We start from the raw sequence: 18,446 nt of genomic DNA, 5'->3' as shown, positions 1-18,446 counted from the left end.
GTTGTTTGTTTTTGAGATGGAGTCATGCTCTGTCTCCCAGGCTGGAGTGCAATGGCACGATCTCAGCTCACTGCAACCTCTGCCTCCCGAGTTCAAGCAAGTCTTCTGCCTCAGCCTCTCAAGTAGCTGGAACTACAGGCACAGGCCACCATGTCCGGCTAATTTTTGTATTTTTAGTAGAGATGGAGTTTCACCCTGTTGTCCAGGCTGGTCTCGAACTCCTGACCTCAGGTGATCCACCTGCCTCAGTCTCCCAAAATGCTGGGATTACATGTGTGAGCCACCGCACCTGGCCACCTCCTGGGTTAAAGTGATTCTTCTGCCTCAGCCTCCCAAGTAGCCGGAATTACAGGTACCCACCACCACACCCAGCTAATTTTTGTATTTTTAATAGAGATGGGGTTTCTCCGTGTTGGCCAGGCTGGTCTCGAACTCCTGACCTCAAGTGATCCACCTGCCTCAGGCCTCCCAAAGTGCTGGGATTACAGGCCTGAGTCACCGTGCCCGGCCTGATTTTATCATTATTTTAATTCTTATTATTGTTATTCGTTAGACAAAGAAATGGGAGTGATTTTTTTAATCAAGGCTTTTAATCCACTTTAAATTGCTATACAAATATGATAATTTTCTAAGTATGCCTTGTCAAAAGACACAATGACAACAAATTGAGTTCAAAGATTATAATGGGCCTTTATCAGCAATTCTAGAATTGGGCAGCACCTCATTCTACAAAACAGAATGAGTGTTCTGATGAGCTGCGCAGAGAAGGCGTGTTTTACAGACAGACAAGGGCTGAAGAAAGCAGACACAGGAAACAAAAAGCAGATGGGGCATTTCAGAGTTACTTTCCCTACAGGGTTAAAGCAGAGAAGACTTCCCTATTCTGCTGACTGAAGTTGCCTGGAATTTCTTGCCTTTTAGAAAACTGGCCCATTTCAGGCTGGGCACGGTATCTCATGCCCGTAATCCCAGCACTTTGGGAGGCCGAGGCAGGTGGATCGCTTGAGGCCAGGAGTTTGAGACCAGCCTGGCAAAATGGTGAAACCCCGTCTCTACTAAAAATACAAAAATTAGCCGACTGTGGTGGCAGGCGCCCATAATCCCAGTTACTCGGGAGCCTGAGGCACAAGAATCGCCTGAACCCGGGAGGCTGAGGTTGCAGTGAGCCAAGATCGCGCCATTGCGCTCCAGCCTGGGCAACGGAATGAGACTCTGTCAGGAAAAGAGAAGAGAAGAGAGAAAGAAGGCTGACCCATTTCAAAGTTCAGTTTGATTACATAGCGCTCAGCACAAGTGACTCCTTTCTGTCTTGGGCTAGTCCGCTGGGGGACAGTGCGGGGGCTGGTCCAGAACAACAGCCTCCGATGAACCTCCTTTCACCGTATTGACATGGAAAAGTTGGGAAGTACAGCGCTGGAAGGAATTCTCAACTGGGGATAATAACTTCCCCCACCCTGGGGGCATTAGAATTATAGGGAGACATACTAAGGTAGTTGTGGTACCTGGAGGCTGCTGCCCATGATCAGTATCTGGGATCAGAGACGTGCAGGGCAGCCCCCAGGATTATCACAGTGACCCCTGTAAGAAGCCCCACTTAGAGCATGTAGAGCTGTTCTCACAGCAGCTACCTCTCAGGTCCCTGGGACAGCTAGAGGGCCATACCCAAGGAAAAGGCCTAAGCCACAGTTTAGAAATCCTGTTGGTGACCCTTCTTGCAAATGGCATATATAGCTCAGAAAGCTACATAGATAAGACCCATGCCAAAGATAGTCTACTTGGGCAAACCTGATGCAAACTAGATCCTAATTTGTGTGCTGCTAAGGCTGGAGTTTGCCTGTGATTCGTGTTTTCTACATCCAGAACACTTGTTTTTTTGAAAAGAGGGCTTTGCTCTACCACTCAGGCTGGATTGCAACCATAGCACACTGTAGCCTTGGGCTCCTGGGCTCCAGCAATCCTCCTGCCTCAGCCTCCCAAGCAGCTGGGACCACAGGCGTGCCTCACTATGCCTGGCTCCATGCAGACCATTCTAAAGAGGCTTATCTAATATTAACTGTAGTTGAAGACTTAAGTGCAATAACCTGTTAGCAATGACTATTTGTGGCCAAATAAAAATGTACCAAATGAAAGAAAAGGTTACATGAAATTGGTTTTAAGTGCTAAGATGTAAACCTTCCCGGCAATTGGTGCCCTCGGTCTTTGGTTTCAATTAATTCAATTCACACAGTTTAAATGTTTGGCATGGATGAAATTCTCGCAGGTATTACCTGGCTTCCTCAAGAACTCTGCCCATGACTGTGTTTTTTTCCGCCTGGTTGGCATCTTCATTTACATCAGTTCCACCAAAGATGACTCCAAAAGGGATTCGGTGGCCTGCAAAACGATGACAGTCACAAAGCAGAATTTAGCCCTAAAAACAGCCTTCACCAACCATTCCCAAGCAAGGATCTTAAACACTGAAGTTCCCAGATCGCCGGAGCTGTTTGTTGCTGTACATTTAGCTGCATCCACCTCTCCTGGATAGCAGAATAGGTATCACTACAATAAACACAACACCAAGAGGAATCACGGGAGGCCCCAACCACTGTCGTCAGGGCTATCTTTCAATTAATTCATTTTAAACTTTAGCAAATAAAAAATATTGTTAGCCTCATCTATCAATCAAAGCCAAGCTTATCATTCCTAGGAAATGGGCTAATCTGCCATCATCAAAATTCATGACAAAAAAAGGGCTCTCCAAACTGAGTCCTATTGTTCATCAACACCAACAGGCACCGTGCTAGCTTGGGACAACAACAGGGGAGAGAGAGGTACAGACAACCTTGATAATATCCTCAAGAACTGTTCAGTACAGCAGGGGTGATAAATTATGACAGGCTCAACTAGGATAAGGGCCAAAATAACACAAGATGCTGAGCGCATAAAGTGGGAAAGAATTTGCAAAGGGAGTATGTATATTCCGAGTGACGCGTCCTGTGCGGATGGGAGGCAGTGTGTGAGTCCACTCCCTGCTTCCTTGATGAACATTTCATGAGCGCAGATGGGCAGGACAGGGCATTAGCCCTGCCCATCTCAGGCTGAATGATGTGCTTATCAAAAGCGACTCCCCGAAAGGACTCCCAAAGGTCACCTAAAAATTTCAGAGAGACTATGGCCTACAAATCACCCAACAGACCAGATCTAACTGGAGTTCACCCAGTTAGATTTCTCAAACAAGCTATTTCTATCAAGATATTTAAAGGAGAAGATACTGATCTTTCCTTTTACTGGCCTTTGAATTGTTTTTGTCATGTAAATTAGCAGATCTCATCTTCTTTCTCTCTATCTAGGTCACTCTCACCCTAGAATTCCACTGCTATGAATTCAGCCTCCAGATATTAAGCTCAACAATAATACACATGGCTCCAGCAAGGCTGCTAAAAGTAGCACAGTTTGAGAAGCAACTTACTTGTGCATTGGTGAAGACCAACTCTTTTTTTTTGGAGCTCTGTGTGTGTGTGTGTGTGTGTGTGTGTGTACTCACATAGAAAGACTGGCCAAAAAAAAAACGCATATTGGTGAACAAAAGATGCTTGCACAAAAACAAAAGCCATAAACACACATTTCTATATGCACAGAGCATCTGTGATAGTACACAAAATAATAACTGTTGTCACCTCTGGGAAAGAGACCTGGAAGACTACAGATCTGGGATGGGCCAGGTGCGGTGGCTCACACCTGTAATGCCAGCACTTTGGAAGGCCAAGGAGGGCAGATCACCTGAGGCCGGGAGTTTGAGATCAGCCTGGGCAACACGGCAAAATTCTGTCTCTATTTTTGTAAAAATACGAAAATTAGCCAGGTGTGGTGGGGCACACCTGTAATCCGACCTACTCCGAAGGCTGAGGCATGAGAATCACTTGAACCCGGGAGGCAGAGGTTGGAGTGAGCTGAGATCACGCCACCGCACTGCAGCCTGGGTGATAGAGCGAGACTCCGCCTCAAAAAAAAAAAAAAATCTGGGTTGGGAGTGAGACTTACTTTTCACTCTGTAACATTTTATATTGTTTGAATTTCTTACTACAGACCTGTAAGAACTTTTCCAAAAACACAGAGAGACATAGAAACGCCCGCCCAGTAGAGGTGGTTCACCAGGGGTTTAGGCTTTGGGAGATGTTGAGACAGAGTGAAGATTTTTCTCATATGGTAAGGACATGAATCTGTGGTAGGGAGAATAATTGCTCCCAGAGATGTCCACATCCTAATTCCCAGGACCCATGAGGCTGGGACAGGGGAGGGGTATTACGGTAGACTATCGAGGCAGGCTCAACATAACCACAGGGGTCGTTACAAGTGGAAGAGGGAGGCCAGAGAATCAAGTTCAGAGTGAGGAAGACCTCACCAGCCTGATGGCTCTGGACATGGAGGAAGGGCCATGAGCCAAGACATGTGGATGCCCCTCAAGGCTGGAAAAGACAAGAAAACAGATTCTCCCCAAGAGCCTCCAGGAAGAAGCGCAGCTGCTGACACCTGAATTTCAGCCTGGGAGATCCGCTTCAGCTTTCCAACCTCCAGAACAGGCTCCCCTGTCACCGCCTCAGGGGTCTTGGGAAGTAGGATGTGGACATCTCTGGGAGCAATTATTCTCCAGAACTGGAGGTCAGGTGATGAATTTGTGTTGTCTGAAGCCACTGGGTTTGTGGTAAATTATTACAGCAGCAGTGGGAAACTGATACACCCTATTGCCACAAAGGGACTGTATTAGTCCATTTTCAAGCTGTTGATAACGACATACCCAACTGGCATGGCAATTGGATATGTCTGGGCAATTTACAAAAGAAAGAGGTTTAATGGACTCACAGTTCCATGTGGCTGGGGAGACCTCCCAATCATGGCAAAAGGTGAAAGGCACATCTCACATGGTAGCAGACAAGAGAAGACAGCGTGTGCAGGGAAACTCCCCTTTATAAAACCATCAGATCATGAGAGACTTATTCACTGTCATGAGAACAGCACAGGAAAGGCCCACCTCCATGATTCAATTACTTCCCACCAGGTCCTTCCCACAACACACGGGAATTGTGGGAGCTATAATTCAAGAAGAGATTTGGATGGGGACACAGCCAAACCATATCTGGGATATTCCCCCAATAAAAACTGCTACTAAAGGAGGCTAAGTAAAACAGTGGGAGAGTCGTTTTCAGTGAAATTCCCAAAGACAGAAAAATAGACACCTAAAAGATACACACTATCAACGAGGTTGTTTAAAAGGTGTGAACATATTTAGTACTTAAGATGACAGCCCTTTCTTACTCAATCAGACCAGCAGCAATAACTCATATATGTCAAAGCTAATTTGACCTATCTGGAGAAATCACAGGACTTTCACTCCAGACAGCCCCAGGTTAGAATTCTGCTTCTCCGCCTAGAACAGGCATGCCTTTGGCCAAGCTACTCAGTGACTGTAGTAAATAACAATGTATTGTACACTTGAAAATTGCTAAGAGAGGGGCCAGGCATGGTGGCTCATACCTGTAATCTCAGCACTTTGGAAGGCCGAGGCGGGTGGATCACTTGAGGTATGGAGTTTGAGACCAGCCTGGCTAACATGGTGAAACCCCATCTCTACTAAAAATACAAAAATTAGCTGGGTGTGGTAGCACATGCCTTTAATCCCAGCTACTCGGGAGGCTGAGGCAGGAGAATCGCTTGAACCTGGAAGGCAGAGGTTGCAGTGAGCCAAGATTGTGCCACTGCACTCCAGCCTGGGCGAAAGAGTCTCGACTCTGTCTCAAAAAAATAAGACTTATAAATTCACCCATGATTACAATTGAAAAATTCTGGAAGTCCTCTGCTATAACATGATGTAGATAAAATATTTTTGCAAACTCTCTTTTTATTATTGTATATATATATGGTGTACAACATGATGTTTTAAAATATGTATACATTGTGGAATAGCTAAATCAAGCTAATTAGGCCAAGCACAGTAGCTCACACCTGTCATCTCAGCACTTTGGGAGGCCAAGGCAGGAGGATTGCTCCACCCCAGGAGTTTGAGACCAGCCTGGGAAACACAGCAAGATCCCATTTCTTAAAAAAAAAAAAAAAAAAATCAAGCTAATTAATATATGTATTACCTCACATATTTATCATTTATTTGGTGATGAGAACACTTAAAACCTACTACTGTCTTAGCAATTTTTTTTTCTATTTTTTGAGACAGAGTCTCACTTGGTCACCCAGGCTAGAGTGCAGCGGTGCTATCTTGGCTCACTCCAGCCTCCGCATCCCAGGTTCAAGTGATGCTCCTGCCTCAGCCTCCCAAGTAGCTGGGATTACAGGCAGTGCCACCATGCCCAGCTAATTTTTATATTTTTAACAGAGACAGGGTTTCACTATGTTGGCCAGGCAGCTCTCGAACTCGTGACCTCAAGTGATCCACCCGCCTCAGCCTTCCAAAGTGCTGGGATTACAGGTATGAGCCACCATGCCTGGCCCCTCTCTTAGCAATTTTCAAGTATACAATACATTGTTATTCACTACAGTCACCATGCTGTACAATAAATCTTGAATGTATTCCTCCTAGCTGAAATTTTGTGCTTTTTGACCAACGTTTCCCTAATCTCCTCACAATCCTGAGCACCTGGTAACCATCCTACTACTCTCTGCTTCTATGAATTTGACTTTCTGGATTTCACATACAAGTGAGAACCATGTGGTATTTGTATTTCTGTGACTGGCTTATTGTATTTCGCATTATGTCCTCCAGGCTCATCCATGTTGTTACAAACGACAGAATATCCTTCGTTTTCCATTACATATATATATACCCCATTTTCTGTATCCATTTAACATCAATGGGCACAGGTTGATTCCCCGTCCTGCCTGTTTTGAATAGTGCTGCAGTGAACATGGGGTTGCAGATATCTCTTCCACACACTGATTTCATTTCCTTTGCACATATACCCAGAAGTGGGATTGCTGGATCCTACGGTAGTTCTATTTTTCATTTTTCGAGGATATATTTATAAACTCTTATTCACTCTTCAAAACCCTATTCAGTCATCCCTTGTTTCTGAAATCTTCTCCAGGTCTCTCAGAAGTAAATCCTTTCCCTTCTATGTCATGCCATGTATCATAAGGTCTTGGGTTTTATTTATAGACTAGAAGATTCTCTTATTTATGTCTGCACCCCTTGCTCTAATATGATGGCACTCAAAGTTAGGTCCTCAAAGAGCATTTGCTGAAATGCACTGAGAATGAAGAGTAGCACACAAGCTATTTTCCAAGTGAGTTGACTCGGAGCCACCCACGTAAGGGTCTTATTCCTAAATCAGTACTTGTGCTAGAGGTTTGTCTCTCCCAGTAATCGGCTGAGAAAAACAGAAAATCATAGCTTCCTAAACTTGGCTTCTTCTACTTTTTTTTTTTTTTTTTTTTGAGATGGAGTCTAGCTCTGTCGCCCAGGCTAGAGTGCAGTGGCGCGATCTCAGCTCACTGCAAGCTCCGTCTCCCGGGTTCAAGCTATTCTCCTGCCTCAGGCTCCCGAGTAGCTGGGATTACAGGCATCCACCACCATGCCCAGCTAATTTTTGTATTTTTAGTAGAGACGGGGTTTCACCGTGTTGGCCAGGCTGGTCTCGAACTCCTGACCTTGTGATCCCCCCGCCTCAGCCTCCCAAAGTGCTGGGATTACAAGCATGAGCCACTACGCCCGGCCCTAAACTTGGCTTCTCAATCAGCCACCCGACCTTATCTGCTTCCTTATTAGGCTCAAGCCTAAAGCATATTCTTAAAAAGAAAGAAGGCTGGGCGTGGTGGCTCACGCCTCTAATCCCAGCACTTTGGGAGGCCCAGGCGGGCAGATAACGAGGTCAGGAGATGGAGACCATCCTGGCCAACATGATGAAACCCGTCTCCACTAAAAATACAAAAATTAGCTGGGCGTGGTGGCGCGTGCTCGTAATCCCAGCTACTCAAGAGGCTGAGGCAGGAGAATTGCTTGAACCAGGGGAGTCAGAGGTTGCGGTGAGCCGAGATCCCACCACTACACTACAGCCTGGCGACAGAGTGAGACTCCGTCTCAAAAAAAAAAATTAAAAATATAAATAAATAAATAAATAAATAAATAAATAGAAAGAGGAGGAGCTTGATTAACACACTCTTGGCCAGCATCAAGTTAAGTTTTTCCTTGTGTGCCATTTAGGGTGTATAGGAAAGAGTCCAGAAAGCACACTACCTGGGAACAGGTTCCATTCCATCTAAGTTAAGGATACCTGTAAAGTTCTGTTCACACACACTTGAAACGATGGATCGGTATGCATGCCAAAAATATCTTACAGACATGCCCAAGAGGGAGAAACAAATATAATGTGTTACTTTGACGTTCATATAATAATTGGTCCATACCTTAAGGAATGAAAGTTGATATTGTTCTTTAAAACATTTGCAGGCTGGGTGTGGTGGCTCACACCTGTAATCCCAGCATTTTGGGAGGCCAAGGTAGGTGGTGGGTCACCTGAGGTCAGGATTCGAGACTAGCCTCGCCAACATAGTGAAATCCCATCTCTACTAAAAATACAAAAATTAGCAGGGCATGGTGGTGGGCGCCTATAATCCCAGCTACTCGAGAGGCTGAGACAGGAGAACTGCTTGAACCCGGGAGGTGGAGGTTCAGTGAGCCAAGATCTCACCATTGTACTCCAGCCTGGGCAACAAGAGCCAGACTCTGTCTCAAAAAAAAAAAAAAAAAAAATTGCGTTATACCTGCAATATATCCGTAATGTGTATTAATGTTGTTAATGTGCTATTTTCCATTATTTGCATATTCTACTTAGCTATTTTATATAATTATTTTCTCAGCAAATACTAATTTTAAACAGAAAAGCAAACTTCCACTTCTCCAAGCTGTTAAGGTTTTACTTAGCAATATTTAATATACACAGTTATATAAATGTGACTAGTTATAACTTGGCAATATGTATGAAAAGCTTTAAAAATGCATATACCCTTTGATCCTGCAAGGTTATTTCTGGAAAATCCTAAAGGAAATGGGCTCCAAAGGTTTATGCAGAAGGCTGTTCATCATGATATTGTTTAAAACTGAGGGGAGAAATGGAAATAGGACGGGACCATTCATAACTTGCTGCAAAAGAACATTCAATGACAGAGGAAATATAGACCATCTATTTCTAACATATTGTAAAATAGGTTACGCAATTAAAAGTATAATATGATTGCAATTTTTAAAATATACACACAAACTACAGAGCAAGAGTCAGATACAGCAGTATCTCTGCATCCAAAGCATTTATCAAAGTGCTTAGCACATACTAAATACTCCATAAAAAATATATATTTTTATATATTATATATAATATATATTTATATAGGTATATAAATATATTTATTTTATGTATCTATATCTATAAATTTTATATATATATATATATATATATATATATATATTTTTTTTTTTTTTTTTTTTTTTTTTTTCGATACAGAGTCTCACTCTGTTGCCCGGACTGGAGTGCAGGGGCATGATCTCAGCTCACTGCAACGTTCACCTCCTGGGTTCAAGAGATTCTCCTGCCTCGGCCTCCCAAGTAGCTGGGATTACAGGCACTCGCCACCATGGTCAGCTAATTTTTTTTGTATTTTTAGTAGAGACGGGGCTTCACCATGCGGGCCAGGCTAATCTCGAAATCTTAACTTCAAGTGATCTGCCTGCCTCAGCCTTCAAAATGCTGGGATTACAGGTGTGAGGCACCGCGCCTGGACTATAGTTTTTTTTTTTTTTTTTTTTTGAAACGGAGTCTCGCTCTGTCGCCCAGGCTGGAGTGCAGTGGCAGGATCTCGGCTCACTGCAAGCTCCGCCTCCCGGGTTCACGCCACTCGCCTTCCTCAACCTCCCCAGTAGCTGGAACTACAGGCGCCCGCCAACACGCCCGGCTAAATTTTTGTATTTTTAGTAGAGACGGGGTTTCACCGTGTTAGCCAAGATGGTCTCGATCTCCTGACCTCGTGATCCGCCCGTCTCCACCACCCAAAGTGCTGGGATTACAGGCGTGAGCCACCGCGCCCGGCCGACTACAAATATTTTTTAAAAGAAGTTGCAAGCTTAATTGTAAAATTATATCTTTTTTGCAAACTTAATTTTGAATAAAAACATAAATAAAACCAAAAACACACACACAAACAGTGGTCGTTTCTGGGTGGCGAAACTGCAGGTGCCATATTTTCTTCTTTGTATTTTTACATAGTTTCCAAATCACCTCTATAAGTAATTTAAAAATCAATAAGAACTATATATTTTTAAATACAGTTTAATCAATAGAAGGCTGTCTAAGAAATGTGTAGTGTATGCACAGAATGAAATATCACACAGCCAGTTAATGACAGGGTAGGGCAACTCAATGTCTGCAACTGGTGCAGAGAAGGTCCCCAGATACTTTGCTAAGTGAAAACCTCACGGTGCACAGGGACAGCTCTTCTTACTGACAATGGTTCTGGTGCTTTTTACACATGATGCTACACAGAGAGACTTTAACCTTCAAAAACATAACCCTGAGGAATAAATACAGTTTAATTTCCATATGGACAACAACTAGGAATGAACAAGTAAAAGTTTAACCACATTTACTAAGAGTAAGCATGGCTTCAGTTCTCGATATTTATTAGATTGAGCAATGTAATTGATTTTTTTCCTCTGGGCAATAGGTTGGTTTTGCAGAGGGCTCCTCTCCTCCTTCAACTCTTAAAAGAAGCAAACCTAACTTCAGATGACTTTGTTTATTTGAAGCAGAGGTCAAGCATGGTAAAATTGAGAACTGTAAGTTTGAAGGAAAAAACAAAAATCCAGCAATCTGACTAGAGGAGAAATAAGTCCTTGCCCATCTGTTAGTAGAATACGAACTGGAATAACCTTTCCATATAGCATTTTGTCACTGTCAATCAAAACAAAAGTTACACAGCCCTTTGACCCACAGGCTTTCCTAGGAATTTATATTTCCAACATCCACATACAATGGTGTAAAGAAATGTAATCGAAAACACTTCAGCCTTGCTTGGAATAGCAAAAAAACAAGAGAGACTTTTAATAAGTATGGTGCATTGTCACAGTGGAATACCTCACAGCCAATAAAAAGAATGTAGCTTTGTGGATTTGGAAAAGTAGCTAAGATATGAGTTAAATATACAGACCTAATCCCACTTGTGGGAATAAAATGTTCCACATATGTGTGTAAAACCTTTAAAAAGAAATAACAGGGGCCGGCTGCACTTGGTGGCTCCCGCCTGTAATCCCAGCACTTTGGGAGGCCGAGGCGGGCAAACAACTTTAAGCCAGGAGATGGAGACCAGCCTGGCCAACACAGTGAAAGCCCGTTTCTACTAAAAACACAAAAAGTAGCTGGGCATGGTGGTGCACACCTGTTAATCCCAGCTATTCTGGAGGCTGAGGCACAAGAATTACTTAAGCCTGCTAGGCAGAGGCTGCAGTGAGCCAAGATCATGCCACTGCACTCCAGCCTGGGCCACAGAGTGAGACTCTGCCCACCCCCCCAAAAAAAAGAAAGAAAGAAAGAAAGAAAGAAAGAAAGAAAGAAAGAAAGAAAGAAAGAAAGAAAGAAAGAAAGAAAGAAAGAAAGAAAAAGAAAAAAATAATAAGTATCACTTTACAGAAAATGACACAACTTGACAACTTGTTGGGGGTGGGGTGGGGGAAGAGGGAGAACATCAGGAAGAATAGCTAATGGATTCTGGTCTTAATACCTAAGTGATGGGATGATCTGTACAGCAAACCACCATGGCACACGTTTACCTATGTAACAAATCTGCACATCCTGCACATGTACTGCTGAACTTAAAAGCTGAAGAAAAAAAGAAAAGAAAACAACACAACTCACTGTCAACAGAATCACTAAACTCAGGGCTGAGGCTTTGTGACTGCATGAAAGAGTTGCAACAGTCAGTGACAACCTTACAAAGGTTCCTACTGAGCTATCAGGGATTCCGAACTTCATCTTGGCCTATAAGGAAAGTTAAACTCTACACTTCTTTCACATTCAGAGACAAAGCTCAGACTGTGTTTCACTACACTTAAAACTGAATTCAAGGCTGGGTGCAGTGGCTCATGCCTTTAATCTCAGCACTTTAGGAGGCCAAGGTGGGTGGATTGGTTGAGTCCAGGAGTTCAAGACCAGCCTGGGCAACATGGCAAGACCTTGTCTCTAAAAATATACCAAAAAAATAGCCGGGCATGGTGGCACATGCCTGCAGTCCCACATGCCTGTACTTGGGAGGCTGAGGTGGGAGGGTTATTTCAGCCCATGAAATGGAGGTTGCAGTGAGCCAAGATTGTATCACTGCACTCCAGCCTGGGTAACAGAGTGAGACCCTGTGTCAAAAAAAAAGAAAAAAAAAATTCAAAGTCATATACTTGTTCAGCAGAAAATAACTCTCTAGAAATAATACTTTCAGAAACACTCTCCGCATATACAGAAAACAGTTCATTTAGATTGTTCAGGCACGGATGCAAAAATATGGAAGCACAAATATATTCTCCCAAGTTGGTATGCTATGATGTCTGTACAGAGACAAGCATTCTAAAAGGTGAAATAGAAAAATTAAAGACAATGTAAACATTTATTTATTGAAGACTTTAAATGATGGCACCTCTGCACAATGGATGAGACAGATCTATGTATGTGCCACTATGGGAGAAAGTTCCCAGATGTGTGGCTGAGCGGTGAAAAGGAAGATGCTGAATATATATTCAGCGGTGGGCTTCCATTTGTGTGTGTGTGTTTAAGATGGGGGAGGAGGTACATATAAATACATGCATGGGTGTACATGAACCTCCTCATATGCATGCTCTGTGTAGTGCCCTCTCACACTGAATAGTGCTGACCTGTGTAATCAGAAGGATATTGTGGGATTCATGTTGTATTGACTTCTGAGCCTGGGTCATGAAAAATAAGGCAAATTCCAACTTGCTTTTCTTTTGATGGTTCTCTCAGGGAGAAGCTGGCCATCACATCGTGAGGACACTCAAGAGGGCCATGGAGAGGACCATGTGGTAAGGAACTGAGACCTCCCACCAACGGCCTTGTGAGTGCACTATAATGGATGCACATCAGCAAGCCCCAGTCAAGCCACCAGATAAGACTGCAGCCTCATGGGAAACCCTGAGACAGACCACCCAGCTAAGCTGCTTTTGAATGCCCACAGGAACCATTAGATAACAAATGTACTGCGATAAGCAACTAAGTTGGGGCAGGGGGTAATTTGTTATGTAATAATAGATAATCAATACAGTACATATATTTCTAGGAGAATATCCACAAGAAAATGTTAACTGTGGTTACCTCTGGAAATGAGAAATAATACAGTGGGGATAAGAGGTGGGAGACAGGCTTACTTTTCATACTATACCACTCAGTTACATTTTACACCGGGGCAATTTTTCATGTATTACCTGAAAAAATAAAAAAGAACACATAGTAAGATGTGCCCATATATGAAGAGAGTGTTCAGAGAGGGCTCAACTTCCTGTGGAACAGGAGGCAGGAAAAAGAGCTGGAGCTTAAATAAGGTTTGATACAGTGTGGAAAAATGAAAAAATCACCTTCAGTAAAAAACCTCTAAAATTTTTGAAAGTGTGACACATTTTGCTGACCAAAATTTAATCCTGATGTGATGATGACTAGAGCAAATTTTGATCCTCCAATGACATGCTATTACTATCCCTTAAAATGGTGCAGCACAAATGATACCACTACTATGTCATTTAATTCATGTTTGAGGAAATCACTCAGGCCAGACAATAACAAAAATATCTGTCTTGCCTTTATTTGGTGGCTGCTATACTCTCAGTAAAGTCAGATGGGTCTTGTGAGTGTTAAGAAAAATTTTCCACAACCTGAAAATAAGGTCAAGAATAATAAGAATAAATAAGGTCCACATGCATTTTCTTGCAATGTTCTAGGAAGCCATAATTAAAAGGGTCCTCTAAAGACTCATTTTCTGAGAGAGTGTATTGTTGTTTGACTTCACTATTTACTATTAATTGAAAGCTCATACTCTGTGAAGTTACATTAAGCCATTTGTAGCTTTGTGTCAGGGAGAGACGTAAATCATTTCTGTCCAGTAGAAGAGATACTTCCAAAGCTTGGGGCCCATTGCCTTGTTGGATGTTAATCAGTTCTGCAACTAACCTCGTGAATTTACTCTGATATTCTTTATTAAATTGCTTATTTAAACTCCAGTTGCTCAAATGTGCTTTAAACTGGTTTTAACATCTTAGTAGTTTCCTCATAAATTGATGGGTTGAACAACATCTTTCATAAGTGCTCTATTTGTAAAAGAATTCTTTTGAAAAAAATATATTTTGAAAGATGAAATATGCATTGAAAAAATTCAGGGCCAGGCTCATGCCTGCAATCCCAGCACTTTGGGAGGCTGAGGAGGATGGATTGCTTGAGCCCAGGAATTCAAGACCAGCCTGGGCAACAAGGGTGAAACCCTATCCCTGAAAAAAAAAACAAAAATTTAAATTAGGGGACATGGTGGCATGCACCCATAGTTCCAGCTACTTGGGAGGCTGAAGTGGGAGGATTGCTTGAGCCCAGGAAGCGGAGGTTGCAGCGAGCCGAGATTGTATCACTGCACTCCAGCCTGGGTGAGAGTCAGAGAGACCCTGTCCCAAAAAAACAAATAAATAAACAAACAAAAATTAAGGATGATACTTTTAATATGGTAAAAACAGTTTCAATACACATCCATTCTTGACTGTTATAACATTTAAGAAAATTGTGCATTAAGAAAGCAAACCAAAGAGATTATTGCATGTCTCCCATTTCTGAACTGGATAAAAAGGAGACACTGTTTCCCGTGTTATTGGACATTACAGGCACTTCCGGTTTTCAGAATTTCTAGTGTTTTACTTTTGAAGAAAAAGAGGATTACCTTGCAAAAGCCTGCCTCCCCTATAGAGATGAAGAGCCAGGGCAGCCTCGCAGTTCTCAGCCAAGATGAGGTTTGCAATCTCAGATCGGCTTTCAAAGTCAAAGGCATCCTTCAAAACGCACACGTGCCCTGCAGCCTCTAGATGGGCCCTTTATCAAAAAATACAGAGAAAGGAGAAGATGAGGGGAAAATGTTAATATGTAACAGGTTGCTGCTACAGTTAAGACTTTTTTTTTTTTTGGTTGTTGTTGTTGTTGTTGTTGAGACAGAGTTTCACTCATGTTGCCCAGGCTGGGGAGCAATGGTGCAGTCTCAGCTCACTGCAACCTCCGCCTCCTGGGTCTCCAAGCGATTCTCCTGCCTCAGTCTCCCAAGTAGCTGAGACTACACGTGTGCACCACTACGCCTGGCTAATTTTTTGTATTTTTAGTAGAAACGGGGTTTCACCATGTTGGCCAAGCTGGTCTCAAACTCTTGACCTCAGGTAATCCACCTGCTTTGGCCTCCCAAAGTGCTGGGATTACAGGCATGAGCCACTGTGCTCAGCTACTATGATTAAGATTTTAAATGAATTCCACAAGATGACTTATTTACTGAATCACCCTTTGTAAGCACCCTGCCTTAAAATACAAAAGAAGGCCTAGAATCAATGACATTAGCCATTCATCTGCCAGTCTCAGATACCCAGGACTGTGGCTGGAACCGAGGCCATTGGAAGGAAGATTGACCCAGGAGGCCCTGACAGCCTTCAGACATGGGGCACACACTGCCACCTCCAGTGGCATTTGCCATACCAGACAGCAGCTCCTTTTCTATTTCCTTAATTCCACATTTTCTCTCCTGTCCCTGAATTGTGGTATCTAAAGATTGTTTTTGGGCCTCTGTTGCTCGGTTCTTTGAAAAGACTTCAAAAGTCACCTATTATCATAGCTTCAAAAAAAATACTTCCTGGTTTTTCCATTCTACCTGCTACACACACACACACACACACACACACACACACACACAATATTTATGTCTTTCAAACATGTCTCTTCTCTTTGTCTCCACCTTAGTTTCAGCTCCTGGTAACATAAATATAAAATACCTCATAAACAAAAAAGAAATTTTTTCAATAGTGACAACAACATGAACAAAATCAGAAGACAAATGAGAAACTGGGGAAAAAACTATTTACGACTGTTACTATAGAAAAAGGCTCATCTGCTTAATATATAAAGAGCATTCGTAAATCAATAAAGAAAAAAGGCTAACAACACAATAGGAAAACGGACATGAGGGCTGGGTGAGGTGGCTCACGCCTGTAATCCCAGCACTTTGAGAGTTCGAGGCAGACAGATTGCTTGAGCCCAGGAGTTTGAGACCAGCCTGGTCAATATGGTGAAACCCTGTCTCTATAAAAAATATTTTTTAATGCACTGGGCATGGTGACACATACCTGTAGTCCTAGCTACTTGGGAGACTGAGATGGGACTACTGCTTGAGCCTATGAGGTCGAGGCTGAGTGAGCTACGACTGTGCCACTGTACTCCAGCCTAGGTGACAGAGCAAGACCCTGTCTCAAAAAAAAAAAAAAAAAAAAGCCAGCCACAGTGGCTCAAGCCTGTAATCCCAGCACTCTGGGAGGCTGAGGCAGGCAGATCACTTGAGGTCAGGAGTTCAAGACCAGCCTGGCCAACAGGGTGAAATCCTGTCTCTACTAAAAATACAAAAATTAGCCAGGTGTGGTGGTGCATGCCTGTAATCCTAGCTACTGGGGAGGCTGAGGCACGAGAATTGCTTGAACCCGGGAGGCAAACGTTGCAGTGAGCCAAGATCGTGCCACTGCACTCCAGCCTGGGCAACAGAGTGAGGGAAAGAGAGAAAGAGAGAAAGAAAGAGAAAAAAAGAAAGAAAGAAAGAAAGAAAGAAAGAAAGAAAGAAAGAAAGAAAGAAAGAGAGAGAGAGAGAGAGAGAGAGAGAGAAAGAAAGAAAGAAAGAAAGAAAGAAAGAAAGAAAGAAAGGAGGGAGGGAGGGAGGCAGGGAGGGAGGGAGGGAGGAAGGGGAAGGGGAAGGGAAGGGAAGAAGGAAGGAAGGAAGGAGAAAAGAAAAGAAAAAGACAGAAACAGAAGGAAAGAAAGAAAGAAAAAGAAAGAAAGAAAAAGAAAGAGAGAAAGAAAGAGAAAGGGAGCAAGAGAGAGGAAGGAAGGAAGGAGGGAGGGAGGGAGGGAGGGAAGGAGGGAAGGAAGGAAGGGGGAAAGAAAGAAAAGAGAAAAAGAAAAATAAAGATGGGCACAAAATTGCAGTCCATAGAAAAAGAAATACAACTGGACTCTTGAACAAAGAAAATGATGCTCAATATCAGCCATCTTTTTAATCCAGAAAATCTGTAAAGATTAAAATGTTGACCTGAGGCCTCCTGAAATAAACACTCCTATACATTATCTGTGAGAGAGCAAATTGGTACAACCTCTCTAGTGGGCAATGCAACAGCAGCTAGAAAATTTTAAATGCACAAACCCTGTGACCAAATAACTCCACTTCTAGATATTTATTCCAAAGATGGACTTGGATATATGTGCAAAAGCATGCACCCAGGAATACGCACTGCAGCTGTGAAGTAGCAAAAAGACCAAAAAACTACCTCACCGTGCATCCGCAGGGCCCTCGTTATATTATGGTAGATGGACCTAATCATGTTCTTTTGCCATCAAAAGAATGCAATAGATCACTATGAAGTATTAAGAATGAATTCCAAGATTCACTATTAATGAAAACAGAGCACAGTGAAGAATACTTTTGGGTATATACACTGTGTGGGCATAGAATATCTCTAGAAGGATACATTAAAAAGAGATAACAATGATTGTGTCCAAAGAGGAGAGTCAGGCCAGGTGCAGTGGCTCCCACCTGTAATCACAGCACTTTGGGAGGCAGAGGTCGGAGGATCATTTGGGCTCAGGAGTTCGAGACCAGCCTAGACAACATGATGAAACTCTGTCTCTACAAAAAATTTAAAAAATTACCTGGGTGTGGTGACATGCACCCGTCATCCCAGCTGTTTGGGAGGCTGAGATGGGAGGATCGATGAGTCCAGGAATTCAAGGCTGCAGTGAGCCATGATCATGCGACTACACTTCAGCCTGGGTCTCAACAGAGCGAGACCCTGTCTCAAAATGAAAGAAAGAAACAGAGAGCAAGAGAGAGAGAGAGACAGAGAAAGAGAAAGAAAGAAAGAGACACACGAGCTTTTGTATTGTTGGATAGTTTTTACCACATGCATATATTATCTTTTTAAATTGTTTGAGGTGTGTATGTGTGTGAGTGTGAGCGTGCGTGTGTATGTAGATACACAACAAATGGGACCAGGTCTCTTTTCTGATTAAAACCTGCAAAGAGCTCACCGTATTCAGCTCAACTGTCAGTGGCATGAGAATGGGGACCATTTCTATCCTGCTTAGGGAATCAACTAATGGCTGAGCGTGTCTCTGGGATAAATGCCTCAGCCCAGAACACAG

General features: G+C 43.0%; 1 protein-coding gene across 12 annotated transcripts in view; it reads right to left on the bottom strand.

Annotated features, from left to right (window-relative positions):
• The window catches only part of GLT1D1 (glycosyltransferase 1 domain containing 1), a 131,491-nt gene that overhangs the window by 93,957 nt on the left and 19,088 nt on the right, over positions 1-18,446 (bottom strand). For 8 of the 12 annotated variants that reach the window (NR_159493.1, NR_133646.2, XR_001748588.2 and 5 more), the window contains exons 2-3: positions 14,950-15,098; positions 2,268-2,373 (exon numbers count right to left, since the gene is read on the bottom strand). Coding sequence is in view for 9 of the 12 variants with exons in the window: in NM_001366889.1 (NP_001353818.1) it covers positions 2,268-2,373; positions 14,950-15,098 (255 nt within the window). In the remaining 3 variants the exon portion in view is untranslated. Of the gene's footprint in view, positions 1-2,267; positions 2,374-14,949; positions 15,099-18,446 lie in introns of those variants that run through there. The other 4 variants (XM_011537957.3, NM_001366887.1, NM_001366888.1 and 1 more) reach the window with 2 other exon arrangements.

This window comes from Homo sapiens, chromosome 12 (genome assembly GCF_000001405.40).
Source record: "Homo sapiens chromosome 12, GRCh38.p14 Primary Assembly".
Classification (NCBI taxonomy): domain Eukaryota; kingdom Metazoa; phylum Chordata; class Mammalia; order Primates; family Hominidae; genus Homo; species Homo sapiens.
Note: the sequence above shows the minus strand (reverse complement) of the source record. Positions and strands in the feature narration are given on the sequence as shown.